Below are 24,843 nucleotides of genomic sequence, written 5' to 3'. Positions count from 1 at the left end.
GCTTGGCTCTCTTCCAAGTATACTTCCTCTCACTCCTGCTCTAAAACCTTTTAATAAACTTTCACTCTTGCTCTAAAACTTGCCTCAGTCTCTCACTCTGCCTTATGTCCCTGGGCCAAAGTGTTTCTTCTGAGGCAAGAATCGAGTTTTCGGCAGACCTGTACAGATTCGCCACTGCTAACATACTTTGGTGCTGTGACTCGGATACATCCCCTAATGGTAAGACACCTCTATGCCTCACCTTCTTCAGCTAGAGGTGTCAAAACCCTGTACATGGTTTTCTTCTCACCTTTTGCTCTCCTGCTTGCTAACCAACCCCCAGGACAATTCCTTTTGACCACTGTTCCCCACTGGCTGATCTCAGTTCACCCTGAGGGGTGGCTTGTAGGGGTGGGAAGGACTTCAGAGTTCATACCAAGTTGACTTGAGGCACTAAAGGCCCTCCTGGACAGGAAGCTCATGAGAGTGGTAATGCATCCATCCATAAAGATCTTAATCACACTCATTTATGCTTAATGTTCTATTATTGGAACACTAAGCATGTGGGAGTTATTTGTATCTTACTGCTCAAGGTCATTGCCAAGGTCTGATTTTTCACACATCTGCAATTCAGAAAACTGCAGCCTCTGGCATAAATGGGTTAAATACCCTGGCTTCATCCCTGGTTTTCGGGTCCTGATGGAAGTTTGTCTGGACATGGGCTTGGGGAGCCGTTACTGGCACTCCATTGAAGGACCAAAGATGTAGAAGAGAAAACCTTAGCCTATATTCTCTGGCTCACAAGGCATTAAGTTGGCCTCCTTGCTCTGAAAAGTGGGAAAGGAAATTTGGGCTTTAATGGCTTTATAACAGCCTTATAAGAGCCCAAGAAATGTTAGATTCATTAAGCTAACACAAATGTCAGTTGAATCACACCTTATTCCTGACTCATGTCTTTTCTTTTTGCTAAAATGCATGGAGTTGATACTGTGAGACTATGGAGGTGGAGGTGGAGGCAAAGACAATATGCTCTAATTCTTACCTATTTGGTGGTTACCCTCTGCCCAGACTTGCTGTTTTCAGATGATATCAGATACAGGAAGCAGAAAGTGACCGACGCCCATTTGGAAGGACCTTTGTTAACAATGAAGTTGAATGCATGCTTCTGCATGCAGACCACAGAGCACCCATAGGGAAAACTCTTCTTGATGTAGGGGTTTGAAGTCATGAGCCTCTGTCTTGGCTCCATGTATGTCTCACCAGAGCCATGGATTTGACAAACATAGGTCAAAAAACAGCTCCCTAATGTGTGAAATCTACCAGTGGCCACATCTGGGGCAACCACCTAATGGATGTCTGTTTGACACAACAGCTTTATAGAAACACACGTACAATCTTGCATGCTTATTTCTTGGATTTAACTTACTGCTGCTGAAGTCTTAGCCTCAAATGCAATGTAAAAACTTCTCATGCCCAGATAAGAATTATGGAGCAGAAGTGATAGGGCAACTGTCATCAAGATACTAGGGTTATGGGCATGCAAAGCCACATGCTGAAATCCCAGAGCTGACTGGCTATGAGTTATGTTGCATTTCTTGAAAAAGTGTGGGATTAGTGGCTGGGGAGTCATAGCTCATGAGGAGGTGGGCATTTAGAAAGGGCCCCTCCCTGCCACTTTGGACTTCATACCCCTGATCTAAACTAAGCAGCACTTAAGGCATGCACTTTTACACAAGCATGTGTGGAGACTCCTGGGAAAATTCCAACCAACTGCTGTTTCTTCTGGACTGTGTCTCATCTTTTTCTCAGTGGAGACACTATGGGAATGACTGCTTTAAGTAGAAGCTGATGAAAATATCTTTCTCATTCTCCACCTCTCTTCTAGGCTTCCTCCCCGACATTTTGGAAATGGCTTTCAACCTTTTCAACTGTGCACTTTTTACAATAATTCAATTTACTTTTTATTCTCACCCACTGTGTTACCTTTCTCTCCAAATGTATGTTACTGCTTTCTTCTCTCTCTATTACCATGTTCTCACCTTCTCGATGTTACTGCATCTGTAAAAGCTTGCAGGCTTCCTGATCTTGTTGAACATCTCTAGAGCTAGAAACATTTGGGGTGTGCAGGGAGTCTCCATCTATGAAAGCTACCTAGGATTCCTTCGTGCCATCATCCCTTTCTCCCAGCTCCCATCACCCACATGATAAATCCAAGATCTTAAGCATGGCATACATGAGTCTGCATGACTGGCTTCCACCCATTTCCCCGAATTCCTTCTTCACCAACTCCAGTGCTATCCACTCCCTGCCAACACCCGCTTAGCTCTAGCTTCAAACTATTGTCTGTTCCCCAAAAAATCAAGATTGATTCACATTGCCATGCCCTGACACACAGTTCTTACTGCCTATCCTAGCTTGTCTGCCCTGTCCACCTGAGAAAAATTCTCATCCTTCAAGACTTGGCTCAAAGTCACCTCCTCTCTGAAGTCATTACTAAACTCCCCAGAAGGAGCAGATCCTGGTTTTGCAGAACCCAAAGGACAAATAACCCCATCTCTACTAAAAATACAAAAAATTAGCCGGGCATGGTGGCGGGTGCCTATAGTCCCAGCCACTCAGAGGCTGAGGCAGGAGAATCGCTTAAACCCAGGAGGCGAAGGTTGCAGTGAGCTGAGATCACACCACTGCACTCCAGCCTGAACAGAGATAGACTCCATCTCAAAAAAAATAAATAAAAATTTAAAAAGACTATGGATATTAATTGCAGTAAAAATACCTTATTTTTGCAAAATGTATATAAACACAACCACCTGGTTCCCTTCAGGGCTTAGGAAGGGTTCTGAGCAAGTGAGAGACCCTGACCCTTAAGCTCACTAACTTCACAGAAAACTCACTGATATATTTAGCCATTTCCTTGTTTTGCTTGTATTGTTTTAAATTTATTTCAATTATAGCGTTTATCAAAATAAATAGCATAAATTACTTTTTAAAAATTTTCAGTGCTAAAATGTGAGCAGGAACCACATATTGTCAATCCCTAGAAGCCTAAGACCCAATATGTGGTTTTAGTTGTTTTAATACCAAGGATTTATTAGTTGAAAGCATAAAACTTCAGTCAATCGAGTTAAAGCAAACTTCTAGGTGTTGTAAGGATATAGACTTCCTGGATGCCAGAATGAGAAATGAGGCATCACCAAAGTTGTTAGGAAAGGGAACTGGAGGCTGGAGGGATGTTGTGAAGTTCGGGCAGCCTGACTTCTAGAGTTTGGAAGCTGATGTTCTACCAGTAACCTGGCCTGTTGTCTTCCTATGTCTGCTTCCAGAATCTCTGAAACCCACCTGTGACTTTCCACAATGTCTAAGTTCAAATTATCCAAGAGAATGCAATTTTTTCAGCCCAGACAACTGTCATTCTCCCTCTACCCTCATAACATATGCCAGTCCTACCTGCTGGGCTAGGTGAGTCACCAGATATAAGAATGCTCAGTTAAACATGCCCTCCCAGCAAGGGCTGTGAACACGGGCATTTGTTCCTAGTGGGCAGTAAGGTACCGCAGAATAATCTGTGATTGTTGCTCTGGGCCACACACGTTCTGTTTCCCATAAATCAAGCGTTTTATGGGATGGCATGACACAGTTCACATCAATTCCCCCATCTTGCTCATAACATTATCCTGACTATCTGGGCCAGGCCATTACCTGCTGTTCAGAAATCACAGTAAATCTTGACCTTAGCCATGTCTTCATCCAACAAGATACACTGCCTCAATTCTGCCTATTGGGAGTGTTTACTTGCCCACCATCCTGCAGGGCCCCTCCCATGAGAGGCTGTAATATTGCAGCAATCCACCTGTGCTGGCATAGTGGAAAGGTTCATCTGTTATCTAGGCCGAAGTGTTTTCATCTTTTGACTCCTGGTCATGGGAAGCCCCAAAAACCCAAAGGGGCTGACTGAGGGAGGTCAGGCCACAGGGGCGGGGGGTGGTGCGGTGGACAGGTGTAGGCACACTAAGAACTTGAGCAACCTATGCTTGCAACTTGCTCATGCATCCCAGAACTCACTTCTATACCTAATACTACCCGTTTCTTGATACACTACAGCTGATAGAATGAAGTAGTTGTGGTAGCACCTACAATGTATCATGTATGTGAAGAATCAGAATTCTGAGCACCATTCTTATTTTGTGGAAAACGTATGCAGGCACAGTGCCTGTCGCATAGTAAACATACAACACATGTTTGCGCCTTCATATTCCCTTCCCCCTGTGTTGTTTTCCTTTTTCTAAATTAGGATGGTTAGACGTGTGCTATTTTGGTTCTACTTTACCATTTACTATTTCACGTTCCCCAAAACTTTTCCGTCCAAAACAATGCATGCATCAAGTATGATAGCACTTAAAATATGGACATATGGAGAAGCATGTTCACATTACAGATCTAAGTGTGATATGTCCAGATGTGCCATTTCTAGATATGACAACACTTCAGGAACATAAAAAAGTTCACATATCCATATTTAATAACTCCATCTACTATTTTTGAAACAGTCTTGCTCTTTTGCCCAGGCTGGAGTGTAGTCGTGCAATCTCTGCTCACTGCTACCTCCGCCTCCCCGGTTCAAGTGATTCTCATACCTCAGCCTCCTGAGTAGTTGGGATTACAGGAACACACCACCACACCTGGCTAATTTTTGTATTTTTCGTAGAGACCGGTTTCACCATGTTGGCTAGGCTAGTCTCGAACTCCTGACCTCAAGTGATCCACCCACCTCAGCCACTCAAAAGTGCTAGGATTACAGGCATGAGTCACCACGCCCGCCCGAATAACTCCATTTACTTTTTTAAAGTGCTTTTACGAAGTAGTGAAAATAAGAGAAAAACTCAAAAAAATTTTCATGCAGAGAAGAAAATCAGCAATTTTCCCAGGAGCATGGAATGAAAGGAAGAGCTGGATGCCTTCCCCTTGAATCTCCAGAATCAGCCCCCTTCACCTTGCTCAGCATTGTGGAGGCTGACCTCAAGTAATGTATTATTCCAGCTTCAGGTTGGGCTCAGACAGTGGAAAGCACATGCAAGAAATCAGAAGATAGAGTAGGGCACTTATTTCCCCAGCTCTCTTCCAAGCTGGCTGTCATGGAGCAGTGGGAGTATAAACCTGTTTGAAAGATTTTGTGCAATCTCTATTAAATCTGAACACTTCATAAGCTAGGACCCAGCAATCCCATTCCTAGCCATATACCTAACAGGAATATGTATACCTGTTCACCAAAAGACCTAGACTAGAATGATGACAGTATTATGATTTTCATATTCCCAAACCAAAAACTAACCTAATGCCCATCAATAGTTGATAGAAAAATTGTGATATACTCATACAATGAAATACTATGCAGTAAAGAGAATGAATATTCTGTAAGTACAGATAACAATGTGTGTAAATCTCACAAATATAACATGGAGCCAAGGAAGCCAGACATAAAAGAATGCATCTTATGTGATTCCATTTACAGAAGGCATAAAAACAGGCAAAACTGATCTATGGGGCAAAAGTCATGATAGTGCCTGGCCTTGGATGTGGATACTGATTCAACATTAGTAACAGGGAAACATCTGAGATGTTAAAAGACTGCCTTTCTTGATGTAGGTGCTGGTTGCAAGGTTATATTTGCTTGGGAAAAAATCAAATGAGTTACACACACCAATGTACACTTTTCTGTATGTATATTTCATTGAATGTAAAATGTAAAGCTTTTCATTTAAGCAACTCTTCATTTCTCTACAAGGTAGAAATAAAAGATGGCAATTGGGCCCTGTAGTCCAGAGCTGTTAAAATTTTCTTTTCTTTCCACCAAGGGCAGTAATCTAAAAAATAACATCATTCATGAGCCTGGTAAGTAGAAGGCAAATTAATTTGGATGCCACTTGCATTTACATTTTTAAAAGAAACACCCATGTAATGGATCGAGCACTGCATTTATACTCAAGATCTGAGTTTGATTCCCAATTGCACCCATCACTTGGTGTATGGCAACAGCTAAGTTAATTTCACTTATTTCATATGTGAGGAGCCTAGGATAGAGTGAGGTTAGGAGGAACCTCTCTATTGCCTTAGAGAAATATTCTGAATCAAATCAAAACAAATCAAACAGTTCAGGCAAAGCTGCTTGTAAACCACACAGTGGACCTGTAAAGTATCAGCTTTTTAGAATTAAGAAAAACAACCATAAAGTAATACAGGGGGAAACAATTTTTAATGAGAAAATAAGAGAAAGATAAAGACCAAAGACTCAAGAACTGGTTTTAAGCTGAGAAATCCTGATTCAGTTCTAGAGTATAACATCTTTGAGTAAACCAGCAAATTGTTTAAGAGAGTTCTCATGCCACCTATTTAAAATCAAGTCATATGAATCACAGATAAATGTAAACATTTAACGTTTCCATTTCAGGAATAAGAAACTAGATTTGGGCGTTTTTCCTAAATGAATTTGAAACAATTCAAATAGTAAGGTGCTGGTGTTAAAACTTCAAAATTTAGCTATTTTTCTGAGAAAGATAGCACACAAGTCAGGAAAGGGCACACATTTTATTAACATACATCTTCCGGGGTTATCATGAAGCCAGTGTCTGTGTATCCAGCACAGGGGCCAAGAAATGGTATAGCACCAACATCCCAGAGAGTCACTCCTGCTACCCTCACAATCCTGTGCCCCTTTCTTCTCCCCAAAAAGGTAGCCACTAAGAAAACTGTCACAGTGACCACTTCTGCCCTTCTCTTTATACTTTCACTATCTAAGCAGGGCCTCTCCTATTTAATGTGTTGTGGACATTTTTCCATGCTAATAAATTCATCACTCCTCTTAATGATTCTATTTTTAAAATAAAGGTACCTGAATGTATGTAACTGCTCAGATGTTGTGTCTATTCATCATCCATATTCATGTGAATCATTTTACTGAGCAAGTCCCTGTGATGCCAGTCATTTAGATAAGCATAGCCATTTTCCCCAAATTAGATGGCCTTAGACCACTGAATTACTCTTCATGTGTTCCTTTGTTCCCTTTGTTTGTAGAAATCCTGCCACCTGATATTTTTACAGACCTACTGCTCACTTCCAGCACCTCTTCCCGCATCAAAAACCTTTTCCCTAGGGCTTATTTTCCCTCATTAATACCCCGGACAAAATAACAATCACACAAAAACCATGTTCTCTTTCTAGCCTATAGAGAATAATTGAGTTTATAGTTAAAAATGCAAATTTCTAAACTCCATAAAATTTTGGATTCTGGTACATGAAATAGTGTCCCAGGATCTGCAAATGCACTAGGTTGCTACAAATTAAGCAGCTGTCCATATCTCTAAGAAGTAGAAATAAAGGATGACAATTGGGCCCTGTAGTCCAGAGCTGGTGAAATTTCATTCCACCAAGGGCCATTGATCCAAAAAATAAAATCATTCATCAAAGTAGAGGGCAAATTAACTTGGAGGGTATTCGTTTTTACATTTTAAAACTAAGAAGCACCCATGTAATGGATAGAGCACTGCATTTATCCTCACAAGATCTGAGTTTGATTCCCAATTCCACCCATCACTTGCTGTATGGCAATTGCTAATTTAATTCCAGTTATTTCACCCATGAGCGAACTGGTAACCACTGCTCTACAGAGTTGATCAGCCCTGCTCCCAGGCCATGAGGCTTACTCTCTATCCCATAAACTCTTACATGCAATGCACACACACCACACCACACACGTGCACACACATTCACCAAGAAAAAGAGCTCTGCAGCAATCTAGGCTTTAAGGGATAAAGTACTTCTGTTCTAGTTCCAGTTTTTGCACATGTTGGAATTCACTTTGGGTGAAAAACACTGATGGGCACAGGACAATATTTCCCTGAAACAGATGGCATTTAGCTCACACACTGTCATGAGTTCACTAGTTTGTAATATTCACGTCTCTAAATTTCTCCAAAGATTTGGAGAAATTTTTAAAAGGAGAGGGAGGGAGGAAAAGAGAAAACTGGATATCCCAACAGGACCAGGTATTACAAAATTTTATTTCCAGTCTCTGCATCTAGCCAATGAAGGGACAGTGACATAAGTTAACTGTTAAATGATTCAACAATTATGTATTGGGAATTTTTATATTACAGATACTGTATAAGGTGTTGGGAACAGTACGATGAATCAGAAAAACACAGTCCTTGACTTCATGCAGCATACAATCTAAAAGGGGTGAAGAACAAAGAATAAGAGCTGAAGTTCAGAACACTAGAAGCACTAGTCTTACCATGCTTTGTTTTCATACTTTCTTTGGACTGCATGTCTTTTTCTAAAGATACCAAAAATCAAAAGGGTAATGATGAAAGAGAGGGCCATTTTAGGATTGCATTCTATCAGATAAGGAATTGCAAATCATGTCAAAATGTGGTATCACTGAATACTGGGACAGTGTAGCCTGGAAAAGATAGAACCAAAGAGAGGTTTGAGAACAATCTTCAAATATTTGAAGGGAAAACCTGTAGAAGCAGGAATGGATTCATTTTGTCTCCAGACAACAGGGAGAATCAAGATGGAAAGGAGATACAGGCAAGAAAGTAGAACACAGCTCATCTCAAAAACCACCTCCTAACAACTTCAGCAGGCCAGTAATGAAATGACTGCCTTTACGTATTGTGAAGTCCTCATTCAAGAAGTGTTAAATGACACCTGGGGCCCTCTGTCAGTGGTATTACAGAGAAGAGTCCTGCACTTAAGTGGAAAATGAGACTCGAAGTTTCCATCCAGATCTAAGGTTCTATGATACCATAAAATGGAACAAATGAATTTAAACTATTTTCACTTACAAAAGAAATTTTTTTTTATTTTAACAAAAAACAATCTTTCTTCTCTGTATTATCTCCATCAAACCTTTCTGAGCAAGAGCACAGAAAACAGTTTTCTATGACAGTGCACTTACTTACAGAAATTGTAAATTCAGACGATGGGCTGAATTCTGGCTTGTAGATAAAGTCTTGTTTAGCTGGTACAGTGTCTTAAAGGTTGACTTTCCTTAAGTAGAGCATCTCATTTTGCTAGAAACCCTAATCTTCCTATCATACTTTATCTGTACACTCTTTGCGTTAATTTTTCCTTCCTCATCAGTGACAGCATTTGAGTCTGTAATCCTGATTTTCAGTGAGATGTTGGGAAAAAGATGAAGAACCTAAGTGTGAACCACATATTAACTTTGGTAAAAGAGGCAGTTGTCTCTTGAAAATTTGTGTGACAGTTGGCGTCTCAATTGACTGAAAGTAACACTGGTACATTCAGATTTGTTCTTGGGAACTCCTATAAAAGGAAATCACTGGTAATTCATAGCAAATTCCTGAGTGGAAGAAAGACCAGGAGAAGAACATTGCCAACATAGGCTGGATTTAGACAAGAACTGAGAGGGTAATGAAAAATTAATAGAGTATATAGCAAATGTATCTTTACGCGTTTTTTTAAAACTTCAATACTCTTAAGCCCTAACATGCAGACGTTAGGGTTACCCTCTGAACTGGTGTACTTTGTTTATGCCTATTGTTTTAGTGTCCCATTTGACTTAGTATTTGCTCAGGATCTTTAATTTTTCTTTTTCCACAGGTAGAATTCATATAGTATAACATTAACTGTTAAAAAAATACACTTCAATGCCATTTAATACATTCACAGTATTGTACAACTGTTACTCCATTTGGTTCCAAAACGTTTTCATATTTCTCCATGTTTTCCCTTCATCAGGCACTGGCAACCACTAACCTGCTTTCTGTCTTTATGGATTTACCTAATCTGAATATTTCATATAAATGGAATTGAAATGGGAAGAGTTCCCTGACCCATCTTACAGGACGTGTGACAGGGTTATGGCTTGTCTTATTTGCTCAAACCCCTAAGGAGCGGGAGCACACAGACAGGCGGATGTGGGAGCCTGAGCAAGTGCTCCTGGGCTCTGGCCCCATGGCAGTGTCCAGGGGTGGGTGCCTGTGATTCCCAAAGCCCAAGTGGGCACATGTTACCGTGTGCTCTTTTACCCTTGCTGTCTGCAGGTGGCTTAAGTGTTAGCTCAGTAGACCCTCTGCCTTTCTGCAAGGGCAGAGGGCCAGTATGACAGCATTCTGTATCCCAAACTCTTGTCCAGCATCCAGGAAAAATCAAGCCACACACAGACTTCAAGGACGAATGTGGAGTTTTTAAGTGATGGAAGTGGCTCTCAGTGGGGTAGATGGGGAGCTGGAAAGGGAATGCAGTGGGAAGATGATATTCCCCTGGAGTGTGGCCATTCAGCAGCCAGTCTCCTCTCTGGCCGTCCCCAGCCAAACTCCTCTCCATGTTCAGACACTCCTCCTCTTTCCTCTGCCAAGCCATTCTGCTGTTCTTCTGCTCTTTTGTTTATCTCTTACCTTGTCTGCTTCTAGATCCTAGGGTCTGCGGTTTATACAGGTACAGGATAGGGGGACGTGGTGGCCAAAAGGCAACTTCTGGGCATGAAAACAGGAATCCCTATTCCCATTTAGGGCCACGAATTTCCAGGCTTGAGGGTGGGGAACCACCTTTGCTGGGGAACCACCCTCTTCTACCCATTGTTTCCCTCTCTGCTGTCTGTAGCAGAATCACACAAAATCAGACATTTTGTGTCTGGCTTCTCTGCCTAGCATAATGTTTTCCATGTTCATTCAAGTTGTAGTGTGTATCAAAACAAGCATTCTTTTTTAGGGCTGAATAGTAGTCCATTGTGCAAATACACTGTATTTTGCTTTTCTATTCTTCAGTTAATAAACATTTGAGTTGTTTCCATATTTTAGCTATTGTGGATAGTGTTGGTATGAACATTTGTATACACGTTATTGTTTGAATACTTGTCTTAAATTTTGGTAATATATACCTAGCAGAGGAATTGGTAGCCCTTGGGTTAATTCTGTTTAACTTTTGGAGGAACAGACAAACTGTTTTCAGCAGTGACTTAACCATTTTACATCAATACCAGTGATATACGAGGGCTGAAAATTTCTCCATATTCTAACACTTATTTTCCTTTTTTAAAAATTCTAGACCTCCTAGTGTTTGTAAAGTAATATCTCCTTGTGCTTTTGATTTGCATCTCCTTAATGACTAATAATGTTTAGCATGTTTTCATGTGGTTATTAGCCATTTGTATACCTTCTTTGGAGAAGCATTCATTCAGGTCCTTTGTCTATATTTTAATTGGCTTGTCTTTTCATTGTTGAATTATAAGATTCCTTTATATATTTTGAATAGTAGTCTCTTATCAAGTATGTAATTTGCAAATAGTTTCTCCAATTTTGTAACTTATTTCACTTTCTTGGTAGTGTCCTTTGATGAACAAAAGTTTAATTTTTATGAAGTCCAAATTATTTACTTTTTCTTTATGCTTTTGGTGTCATATTTAAGAATCCATTGCCAAATCCAATGTCATAAAGATTTACTCTTATTTTTCTTCTAAGTTTTAGAGTTTTAGTTCTTACAGTCAGGGTTTTTGTTCTATTCTGAGTTGATTTTGTATATGGTGTTAGGTAAGCGTCCAAATTCTTTGAGTATAGATTTCCAGTTTTCCCAGAACCATTTGTTGAAAGACCATTTTTTTTACCCCCAATGAATGTTCTTGACATCCTTCTCAAAAATCAATTGGTTGTTGCTGTATGGATTTATTTCTGGACTGTCAATTCTATTCCATTGGTCTATAAATCTATCTTTATTCTAGTACTATGAATTTGTGATGAGGGATGCTTTATAGTAAGTTTTGAAGTCAGCAAATGTGCGTCTTTCAACTTTGTTCTTAATGACCTTAAATTATAAAATATTTTCTTAGATATGACACCAAAAGCAAACACAACAACAACAACAACAAAAACATATACTGAACATCAAACTAAAAACTTTTGGGCTTCAAGAGACAGTATCAAGAAAGTGAAAATAGAGTGCACAGAATGGGAGAAAGGTTTTGTAAATCACGTAGCTGGTTGCTATATACAGTACATATATATAAAAAATTACAACTCAGTAATTAAAAAGACACACAATCCAATTTTTAAGATGGGAAGACGAGCCAAAGGATCTAAATGGATATTTTTCCAAAGAAGATACACAAATGGCCACCAGATTACATATACAAATGAGCACCAGGAAAAGATGCTCAACATAATTAGCCTTCAAGAAAAGCCACAAGGATTTACTGCTTCAAACCCACTAGGATGGCTATACTGAAAAGGAGAGATAGTAAGTGTTAGCAAGGATGAGGAGAAATTGGAACACTTATACACTGCCAGTAGCAACATAAAATGGTACAGCTGTTGTGGGAAGTAGGCTGACAGTTCCTCAAATAAGATTGAATTATATAATCCAGCAATTTTACTCCTAGGAATCTACCTGAGACAAATAAAAATATATGTCCACACGACTCATCATGAATGTTCATAGCAGCAGTTTTCATAGTAGCCAAAAGATGTTGACAACCCAAATGTCCATCAACTGATGAACAGATAAGAAACAGATAGCATTTCCACACAATGAATTATTTAACAAAAAGAAATGAAGCATTAATAGATGCTGTAACATTTATGCACTTTGAAAGCCTATGCTAAATGAAAAAGTCAAAAAGGACCAAAAATTATATGATTTCTTTCATGTGAAATTTCCAGAAAAGTCAAATCTATAGAGACAGTAGATAGATAATTGATTGCCTAAAGTTAGGGGATGAGGAGATTGGGGCAGCGGGGGGGAAGCGGGGTGAAGATGAACAAGAACAGAGCTTCTTTATGGGTTAGTAAAAATGTTCTAAAATTGCTTATGGTGATAAATGTACAGTTCTGACAATAGTAAAAGCCATTGAATTGTATAGCCATTGAATTGTACACTTTTAATGAGTGAACTGTATGCTATGTGCATTATATCTCAATAAAGTTATTTAGAAATGAATAGAAGTTGTAGTTCCAAGTAAGCTTTTTATAAAGACAGAACAGGCTTAGCTTAATACTTATATATAAAGGCAAAAGGAGCTATAATAGCTAAAACAATTCTGAAAAAGAAGTTTAAGGTGGTAGGAATCACTCTACCTGGTGTTAAGACTGAATTTATAACTATAATAATCAATATAGTAAGGTACTGGCAGAAGAATAGACATGTAGATTAATGGAACACAAGAAAGAATCCACAAATAGACCAACACAAATATGCCCAATAGATTTTTGACAAAGATGCAAAAGCAATTCAATGGAGAAAGCGTACTCTATTCAACAAATGATGCTGGAACAATTAGACACCCATTGGAAAAGAAAAAAAGAACATCAACCTTCTTACTGTATCCCCAAATTAATTTAAAATAATTTGTAAATTTATAAAACTTTCAGAAGATATTTAGGCAAACATCCAGGACCTGGGGTTAGGTGAAGCCTACTTACACATGACACCAAAAAGACAATCTATAAAAGAAAAAAATGTTAATAGGGACTTCACACTAAAGTCTTTTGCATTATGAAAGTCATGTTAAGGGAATAAAACTGCAAGTTACAGACAGATACAAAATATTTTGAAATCACATTTCCAAAAAAAGCCATATACCTAGGATAGAGAACTCTCTAAACTCAAGAACTTTTTAAAAATACAGAAAATTTCCAGCTTCATCCATGTCCCTACAAAGGACATGAACTCATCTTTTTTATGGCTGCATAGTATTCCATACTTAGCAAACTATCACAAGGGCAAAAAACCAAACACTGCATGTTCTCACTCATAGGTGGGAATTGAACAATGAGAACACATGGACACAGGAAGGGGAACATCACACACCGGGGCTTGTTGTGGGGAGGGGGGAGGGATAGCATTAGGAGATATACCTAATGCTAAATGACCAGTTAATGGGTGCAGCACACCAACATGGCACATGTATACATATGTAACAAACCTGTACATTGTGCACATGTACTCTAAAACTGAAATAATAAAATAAAATTAAAAAAATACAGAAAATTTAATTAAAAATCTGCATAATATATGAACAGGTACTTCATCAAAGGGGAGATATAGATGGTAAATAATCATATGAAAAGATGTTCAATGTCATTAGCCACTAGGGAAATGCAAATTGAAGCCATAATGACATACTACTACATATCCATTCCAACAGTTTTAAATTTTTTCTCAAGTGACAATATCAAAGGTAAAGATGTAGAGAAAGTGAGTGCCTCATATACCATTGATGGGAACATAAAAGAGAACAGCCACTCTTAGAAATAGTTTGGCAGTTTCTCTTTTTTTGGTGGGTGGGTCTGGGAGAGTTAGGGACATCCGAACAGTCTTCCTTTATTAAATGAAAAATGTGTAACTATCATTAATAAGAATATGGTATGTAAATAATAAGCAACTAAAAATTCGATTGCCTGTGTCCATTGGGTTTTCGTTACATTTTATTTCTTGGAAACCAAGGTGGTATTTTACTTAATGTAAATGACGAGTTTGGCAGTTTCTTACAGAGGTAAACATGTACTTGCCATATGACCCAGCAATCAACAAAAACTTAGGTTCACACAGAAACCTGTACAAAAATGTTTGTATCCACTGTATTTATAATAGCAACATATTGGAACAACTCACATATAATTTAATGTGCAAATAATAGTACAAACTCTGGCATATCCATGCAGTGTAACAGTACTCAGCAATAAAAAGAAATGAACTACTGATGCATACAACAACCTAGATGTGCCTCAAGGGCATTGTGCTTGGTGGAAAAAAAGAAGTTTATCTCCAAAGGATACGCACTGTTGATTTTGTTTATATAATATTCTTGAAATTATAAAACTAAGAGATGAACAAATTAATGGATGCCAGGGGATAGAGACTGGATTTCAGGGGTGGGAAGATGGGGAAGGCGCATATGCAAACGAGTAGCACAAGCATTTTCTTTTACAGTGATGAACAAGTGCGGTTGTTGATTATGGCGGTAGTTATAGTAGTCCCTTTATAACTGCGGTTTCACTTTCCGTGATTTCAGTTACCTGTGGTCAACTGTTGTCTGAAAATATTACATGAAAAATGGCAGAAATAATTCATAAGCTTTACACTTCATGCTGTTCTGAGTAGTATGACAAAATCTCATGTTGTCATGCTTTATCTGGGATGTGAATCATCCCTTTGTCCAGGATATCCATGCTGTAAACACTATCCACCCATTACATTATAGGACAAAACATAGCCTACATAGAGTTCCATACTATCCACAGTTTTAGACATCCACTGGGGGTCTTGGAACATATCACTAATGGATAAAGGGGGACTGCTGCACATGAATCTAAATATGGGATAAAAGTATATATAACTATACACACATACATATATGAAATTTTTAAATTGGGGAAAACTCAAGGTCTGTAGTCAGTTAATAATAGTATATCAATGTCAATTTCCTAATATTGACATACTACAGCTGTCTAAGATGGTGCCATTCGGGGAAGCTAGATGAATGGTACACATGACTCTACTATTTTTGCAACTTCCTGCAAGTCTGTAAATTAAGAGTCTAAAATATAAAACCCATAATATCAAAATCTACAAATATTTTATTTATGTGCAGAGCGAATGAACACAATTTTTTGCAATGAAGCTAATATTGAATAAAATGTTATAGCATGGAGGTATTTTTTTTTTGGCTGCCTACTTTTACATATCAACCTTATGTCTCACTAAATTTCTCTTTTCCCTTCGAAAATAAAAATCTTGAAAGAGTTTGAGATTTTCAAAAACTATCACATAATTCAACCTAAGTGTACTACAATGGCAAACTTTTTGTATGCAATTTGTCTGCAATTTGTTCAAAATCATTAGGAAAGCTTTAGTCAAAGAATTCAATGAATAGAGCACAAAAACTTATTTTTGCTCTTTATGTTTGCTTTTATTAAATTGCATTTATTAAAAACAAAGCTAAAAAACTGGAAGACATTGAAATTTATCTCTGTGTTAACTAGAGGTAACTGAGCCAACTAAACAATGAGAATGCTAGTGGTATATGGTATTTAATTTTGAAATTTTATAATTGAATTTTAAGATATCTTGACTTGTGGCAAATCTTTGATGGAGCTCTCATTTTAACTGCATAAGCTGTATTCTACATCAGAATGGAATGAAACGAAGAAAGCCTGAATTTTACAACATGTATTTTTGGTGAAATTTAAACAACTGTAGTTCATTTATTCGATTTTCAATAAAGCTACTTGTTAAAGAAAGATACACTAAATGAAAGCACTATCATAGTACTTATGAAAATATTCAGACTGAAATATGTATGCATTTCAGCATAAAATATTAAAACTGAAAATATTTTTATTTAGTAAAATTGCTCTGAGCTTTCCTGTAGAGAAAAATCTTTTTCTAGTAACAACATTGTGGTCTACATAAGAGAATCAATGAATGTACCAAAAATTTCAATTGACTATAAAATGTTATTTTGAAGACAACTGTAAGTTATTTAGTATGTTCTCACTTATAAGTGGGAGCTTAATGATGAGAACACATGGACACAGAGGAACAACAGACACCAGGACCTACTGGAGGGAGGAGGGTAAAGAGGAGGTAGAGAGTCAGAAAAAATAACTACTGGGTGCTAGACTTAATACCTGGGTGGCAAAATAATCTGTACAATAAACCCCCGTGACACAGGTTTACAACCTTTTGAAAATACTTTTAGGTTCAGGGGTACATGTGAATTACATGTACCTAAAAGTGTTTTTTAAAAAGATAATAATATGGTGATATTAAAACATATATTCTTTAGGAAAAGTATCAGTGACTTGATATAAGAAACACACTTGGCCTTAAGAACCTGAATAATTATTTTGCATATGTTACTATTAGTGTTTCTATAATCCATATTTTTAAAATTTTTTATTCTTATTTTTAGAAGGAATTATGTATATTAAAGTTGTTTTAATATAACTGTATACCTACTTAATAAGTAAATATTTCAAAATTATTTTATCATATAATTTTCATTATTTTTATTGTTCATTTTAATCTGAGTATATTCCAATTTGGACAATAAATTTCTTGGTCACCCTAACAAAGATGTTCTCTCAGAAGAAATTGACAGCAGTTACAAACTTGGAGCTCCCACATATCACATTTCATGCAAAATTTGTTGAAGCTCAGATATATAGCTAATATTCTCTAATAGAGTGGAGCTGGCTTAATTCATAGGAATATGACAGACTTTACTTGGGTAAAGACTCTAAATGTCAATGTTGGTAGAGAAAGAAGGGGAGACAGTGAGGGCAAGAGAAAGGAGAGAGACAGAGCATCTGAGAGAGAGAGAGAGAGAGAGTACAAGAAAGACATTGTAAGAGAAAGACATGCAGAGAGGGAGAGGAAGGGGAGAGAGAGGGGGAAGGGAAAAGGTATGGGAGGGAAGGAGGCAGAGAAGAACCGAGAGACAGTTGAAGGAAAGGAAGAAAGGAGGGAGGGCGGACAGCAAAGACAAATATTGCACTTAAGTGATTTGATTCTTTCCTAACAATGGTTTTATGACAATTTTTAGCCTGTGGCCTTTGGCAAATAATTTTGTTTTACTCAGCTTCCATTTCTTAAGGTATAAAATGAGGAGAGTAACAATACTTATTCCTCAGGATTTCCAGGATAGAGTGTTACGTTAGAGTGTCTTAGCCCATTTGTGTTGCTATAAAAGAACCCCGAGGCTGGGTAATTTATAAAGTTTATTTGGTTCTCGGTTCTGTAGGCCATACAAGAAGCATGGGACCGGCATCTGCTTATGCTGAGGGCCTCAGACCACGTCCACTCATGGCAGAAGGTGAAATGGAGCTGACGTGTGTAGATATCACATGGTGAGAAAGGAAGCAAGAGAGAAAGTAGAGGAAGGTGCCAGGCTCTTTTTTAACAACCAGCTTTCTCGGGAATAAGAGTGAGAACATACTCATTACCATAGGATGACACCAATCCATTCGTGAACAGTTCACTCCCATGACCCAAACACTTCCCATTAGTCCCCCTGCCTCCAACATTGGGGATCAAATTTCAACACGAGGTTTGATGGGACAAACATCCAAATTATAGCAATAAGAGTATTTGGTAAACAGAACTGATGACTCTTCTGATTATCAGCAGCAGCAGCCCTTCAAGAGTCAAATAGGGAAAAGCACTTGGAATGGCCTTGGGTTGTCTGGGGAGAAAAATGGAGGGTATAAACAGGAAGATGATCCAGGATTCAGACAACCTTCCTAACTAGACCTCTGGTTTGGGGCCTGACCTTTAGGGCAGCGCTGGTCATTTTGTGATAAGCCAGGAGTTAGAAAACACTAACTTGTACATTTGTTCACACATGTTTTCTGAGTTCTCCATGGTCTGTCTTTACACTGTATGCAGCTCAGCTGCCATTCAGCCCTACTCTGAACTACAGAACTCTGCGCCACCTGTGTGTTACTAAAATGCATCTGTGTGACACCTGATCTCTTCCTCCCCACTCCATGATGTCCATCCTCCCCCTAAAGTAGCTGATGTAGGCAAAGACCAAGACAGACCCACAGCTGTGATGCAGGCCAGGTGCTTGGCAGTATTCTGGTTATAAGATCCTACTTACCTGAGTGACTTGTCTTTCAGGCTGCCATTGTCATTTCTGTGAGATTCGTAATTTGAGCTTTGTTTGTTCCCCAGGGTTAAATTGTGGAGTCATGATGTTAAACCTCCACTAATTAAATATAGTCATGTTTCAAGGTTGAATTATTTTTGCTTCAAAGGCTTTGGATTTAAAATTGGTTACATTTCACTGTGAGGCCTCTACCCCTTCTCTTCAATCCAGCTACCTCCTATACTAGCTCCCCACTGTTCTCCTCACCACCAGCTTCCCTTTCCTGTGCTGTGCCAGTCCTTCCTGATTATCTTACCAGATGGAGCACTCCTGGTGGTAGAATGTACCCTTCCTAAAAGTTCACTTCAGACCTAATTTTCAGAACATCCTGTTAAAGACTCAAAGCTGAGTTTTACCTCAGCCTGGGAGAGACCCCACTTCCCCAACCATCACATTTAGCAAACAGACACAAAAAAATACCGTATTACAACATGTAAAATAATGAAATTAAATTCTTTTATTTTATCATATGCAAAAATCAACTCAGAATTGAATGAAATCTTAAATGTAAAACTCCAAATTATGAATCTATTAGAAGAAAACATGCGGCAAAAGCTTCATGACGTTGGTCTGGGCAATGATTTTCTGGATATGCCCCCAGAAGCATAGGCAGCAAAAGCAAAAATAGACAAATGGGACTATATCAAATTAAAACACTTCTGTGCAGCAAAGGAAAAAACAGAGTGAAGACAAAACATTTGTACATCATATATCTGATGAGGGGTTAATATAAAAGTACATAAAGAACCCAACTCAATAGCAAGGAAGCAAATAACCCAACTAAAAATAGCCAAATGACCTGAATAGACATTTCTTAAAAGATATACAAATGGCTAACAGGTATAATTTTTTAAATGCTCATTATTAATCAGAAAAATGCAAACCAAAACCACAAGATATCACCTCATAGAAGAGCAATTATCAAGCAGACAAAAGATAAATCTTGGTGTGGATGTGAAGGAAAGGGAACCCTTGTACACTGTTGATGGGAATGTAAATCATACTGTAGAGCTATTATGGAAAACAGCATGGAGGCTCCTCAAAAGTTAAAATTATTACTACCACAGGACTCACCAAACCCACTACCAGATATATATCCAAAGGAAATGGAGTCAGTATGTGGAAGAGACCTGCATGCCTATAGTGACTGCAGTACTATTCACAGTAGCCAAGATATAGAAGCAACCTAAGTGTCTATCAATAGATTCACAGGCGAAAAAATGTGGTATGTATACATGATGGAATACTATTCATCCATGAAAAGAATGCTCCTGCCACTTGTGACAACATGGATGAATCTGGAGAACATTAAGTGAAATGAGCCAGTTATAGAAAGACAAATACTGCATGATGTCACCCATAAGTGGAATCTTAAAAAGTTGATTTCATAGAAGCAGAGAGTTGAGTGGTAGTTATCAGAGGCTGGGGTGGTTAGGGGGTAGAGGGGCTTGGGGTACTGTTGGTTCAAAGATACATGTCTACAGTTAGAGGGATTATGTTCAAATGATCTCTTGTACAGCATGATGACTATAGTTGATGATATATTCTTGAAAAATGCGTTAGGTATTCTCACCACAAAAATTACCATATAACATGAATTTATTAACTAGATTTAACCATTTCACTATGTATATATACTTCAAAGCATCCTGTTGTACAAACTACATACATACAATTTTATATGTCAATTTAAAAATAGATTAATCTTTTAAAAATCGCCATCTATATTGGCTTGAGAATTATCTAAATCAGAAAGAAAAGGAGAAAAGGTTAACCTCATAAAGATCAACTTTAGGCCGGGCATGGTGGCTTACGCCTATAATCCCAGCACTTTGGGAGGCCGAGGCAGGCGGATCATGAGGTCAGTAGATCGAGACCATCCTGGCTAACAGGGTGAAACCCCGTCTCTACCAAAAATACAAAAAATTAGCCAGGCATGATGGCTGATTTGCATGATTGGCACCTGTAGTACCAGCTACTGGGGAGGCTCAGGCAGGAGAATGGCGTGAACCCGGGAGGCGGAGCTTGCAGTGAGCTGAGATCGCACCGCTGCACTCCAGTCTGGATGACAGAGCAAGACTCTGTCAAAAAAAAAAAAAGAAAGAAAGAAAGAAAAGAAAAGGAAAGAAAGAAAAGAAAAGAAAAAAAAGAAAAGAGTAGCTTTATCCACTGATTTAGAGAGTTGAAAACAATTCAGCAGAAGAACACTTGACAGCCTGGGCCTTGGAGTGCAACATAGTTAGTTTGAATCTCTCATACTCTAGCAGCTTGTGTGACTTTGCACAAGTCATTTTTCATCCCTGGGTCTCAGTTTCCTTGTCTGTCAACTGAGGATAATATCTAAAGCTACTTCATGGGGTTGACGTTAAGGGTAAATTGAGATAATCCATCTAAAAGCCCCTAGCATAGGGCCTGTACAGAGTAAGTTATCAATCGATCAAGTTTTCAGTAACTTAGTATTATAAAGTAAACCAGGAAAACATAGTAGTATAAATTATATAACTTACTAAGGTCTCTGAGAGGGTAAATGACTTGCCTAAGAGCATGCATATCAATTCTGAGTTAATTACAGAGCATGAACTTCCACTAGGCATTCACTTAGCATTTCTTGAAAATCTACTTTGAGCTAGGCACTAAGCTGAGTGCCAGCGACGCAAAGACAAATGAACAAGGTCAATAACCCCAGTGAGTTCATACATTAATAAAGGATGTGAACCCTGTGTATAAGCAATTAAAATGTGTTAAGGGAACTAATAGAAGTGCATAAAGGAAACATAACTAGTTAGAGTAATTCTCAGAGAGTCTTCAAAGAAAAGTTGGTTTAAAGGTTGCCAAACAGGCAAACTATAGAAAATGGTACTCTAGGAAGAATCAAGAACACACACAAAGGATTTGTAAAAGATGTGAAGAATGAATAGAGGTCTGAAACTGCATGGTCCTTAGAAAAAAACTTTAACCTAATTGATTAGATTTGCTGAAGCACAAAGAAAAGGGTGGGAATGGAGGCAGAAACCTGCTGAAATGTTCCCTAGCTCATCCTCCTCCCTCTGTGTCTCCATGACAGACTCTATGAGAACTAAAACCAAATCAAAAGTTCCTGCGGAGGTTGGAGGAGACAATTGTTAGTGGTAAAAGATACTGTTTGTGAACTAGCAGGGACAGTTATCTAGGATCTCCCTGCTTAACTAACAGTACTGTCATTTATCCTAAAATCAGCAAAAGGGCCTGTAATGAGAAGTCAAAACCAACACAAGGCAACATAGAAGGTACACAAGCAACAAAGAGTTGAACGTGGAACCCACTGGAGCTTTTTAAGCAGGAGAGTAACATGATCACTGGCACCTGTTTCGTGCACTTAGCATGCAATCAAATCCTGTGAGGACCTACACGATCTAATGATCTTGCTCTAGCTTCAATCTCCAATTACATCTCATATCTTTCCCTGCATGCTTTCCCAAGATGGTCTACTTACAGCTCCATGGACAGACCATTTCTTCCTTGCTTCAGGGTTTTTACTTTTGCTGATCCTTTTGTCCAGAATGCTCAGTGCTTTGCGTGGCTTTCTGCTTCTCATCTGTAAGGACTCAGGCCTCAATGTGACTAGTTCAGAAAGCCTGTCCCTAACCAAATAAAAAAGATCCCCTCCCTACACACGTATCTTCTATCATATCATATATTTTTCCTTTTATAAAACTTATCTATCTCTGTAATTACAGTTTTGTGCTTATATATTTTCATGTCTCCCACTGCCTAGTGAGTTTCATGAAAGCAGCAATCATATTAGTCTCACTGGCACTGTATTCCCAAAACCTGGACCAGTGCCTAGCATATAAAGTATTCAAGATATATATTTTTGAGTGAAGGAGAGGTAGGATTTAGGTGGCAGTTTTTGTGAGTAGAATAGACGTGGAATGAGAGATTTGCATCTCCACAGCCTGGTGCAGAAGACAACTTTTGAGTCTTGCAGAATTGGGCTTGAACCCTACTTCCTTCATATATTACCTGTTTGCTTTAGGGAAAATTGCTTATCTTTTTGGAAACTGCCTCAGATTCCTCATCTCTAAAACAGAAGTAATAACACATTTAGAAGGTTTGTAGATAGACAAGAGACTATTTAAGTCATGTAGGTCAGCACTTGACCGCTTCCTTTTAAACCCTCACCCTTCCAGAGTGCAATCCTAAATCTCAAGGCTCATATAAGATTGACTCTAGTGGGAAGAAATGAGAGAAAAGAGTCCCCAGAAAGAAAATTGGAGCATGAGGGCAGAACATGAAATAGTCATTTCATTTAGGGCCAGCCCTGCGAATATTTACTCTATCCTTCAACTTCTCTGGAACTGTTAAGTGTATTCCTGGGATAAAAGTTGATATGTTAGGGAGGATAATGGAATAATCTCTGCATAGTAACAGTCCATGATTCTGACCCAGGCCATATTTAAACTGATTGAAGAATCCAAACATATGACCCTCCAGCATCACTCTTACAGCTCAGCTTCCTGCCCTGTTAAACATCACCATTAGTCCAGGACACTCACTCGGATTCTCCCCGATTTCATTTACTGATTTTAAGATAATACAACCTGGTTACTGAGCTGGTGCTACTTGATACCAAGGCTACATGGAAGAAAGCAGCATGCATCTCTGCAACAGCATCCCCATTAATCACCTGGACAAGACACTGAGATCAGACGCATTCTTCCCTGTTAACAAGCAAATACAAAAGGGGTTATGGGGCCATCCACAACCTGACTAGGTGAGTGAAGCTGAAAGCAGCTCTGTGTGGGTTGTTACACATTTCACCCCTTTCCACTCTCGCTGAAAAGTCTTCATTCGCGTGTAACACTGCCCACATTGTTCCTGCTTGACCAAATTGGACAACTCTCACCACTTTCTGAGAGATTTTCTGCCCCTCTTGTGCTGTCTGTGATCACCTGTGATGGAGATGATAGAGAATTGCTTCCCTCTTCTCCCCGGCCCCAAACTTTACTGCCTCCACCCATAGTAACTTGTTAAAGTCATGAAAAATGTCTTATTAAACAAACAAAAACAAACAGAAAAACCAACCAAAAAGCACTGTGACCACAGAACTGTGACTAATAATGGAATTTAGCAAGAAGTCAGCTCCAGTTTCATGAGGCTGTACTTGCAATTTGGGAACATTTTGCTACTCAAGCTCATGATGAATGACTCTAGGAAGAAAGGGTTGCTATTTCTTATGCTTCTTCTCTTTCAGTGTCAGTTCCATTCCCTAGATAATGGGGAGTGGCATGAAGGCATGCAGCAAACTTTCTTTTCACTGACAAAGATAAGCTACCATCACGTCAGTCCTGGCAACAGAGGGCTGCTGAACTGTGGGTCAATTTGATTTGGAAAGAAAGAGGTATCAGGAGATAATTATAAATCATTCTACTTTCTCTATGTTTAGATTGAAACTATCAACTCTTCCAGGAAGCTGAGCAAGGTGTACCTAGCAATAAAAAGAAACTCAATCCTGTGTGTTTGAGCCAACCCATTTTTGGTAATATTTTCTTCACATAATTTTAAGACTTTCAGAAAAGTTACAAGAATTATACATTATATATACCCTTTTCCCAGATTCAACACTTATTTACATTTTGCTTTATCGTTGCTTGCTTGTGGAGTGTGTGATTTCCTAAACCCTCTGAAGTTAAGTTTCATACCTCATGCCCCTTTACCTAAATACTCCAGCATGTATGTCCTAAAGACAAGAACAACCACAGTTCAACCATTAAAATCAGGAAATTTATCATTGTTACATTACTATTGCCTAATCCACAGTTTATATTCAAACTTCTACAATTGTTCCGACAATGTCCTTTAAATGCTTTTTTTAAACCCCAGTCCAAAATCCAATCCAGGATTATTCATTGCATTTAGTTGTCCTGTATCTTCAGTTTTTTAATCTAAAAAATTCCTCAGTTTTTCCTCTGGATTTCATAACCTTGACATTTCAAAGAATATAGGCCAATTATTTTTATAGAGTCCTCCTCAATTTCAGTTTGTCTGCTGTTTATCCAAGATTACATTATGCCTTTTTCCCAGCCACAATACCACAGAAATTCTGCTGGAAAAGAGGAGGCAGAAATCTCTGGCACTCAAAGAACCAGTGAGCTAGTTCTGATTCCTAACACTCTGAATGGAAACACCTTCTAACACAGAGCAGCTAAGGAACACAG

General features: G+C 38.6%; 1 annotated feature.

Annotated features, from left to right (window-relative positions):
• Positions 23,295-23,374: an enhancer, noted in NCBI's record as "active region_28123". NCBI's record gives its function as "activates an Ori minimal core promoter by ATAC-STARR-seq in GM12878 lymphoblastoid cells {active_cell/tissue: GM12878}" and the evidence as "EXISTENCE:reporter gene assay evidence [ECO:0000049][PMID:35858748]".

Source organism: Homo sapiens, chromosome 9 (genome assembly GCF_000001405.40).
Source record: "Homo sapiens chromosome 9, GRCh38.p14 Primary Assembly".
Lineage (NCBI taxonomy): Eukaryota > Metazoa > Chordata > Mammalia > Primates > Hominidae > Homo > Homo sapiens.
The sequence above is the reverse complement of the archived record's forward strand: the minus strand, read 5'-3'. Positions and strand labels throughout refer to the sequence as shown.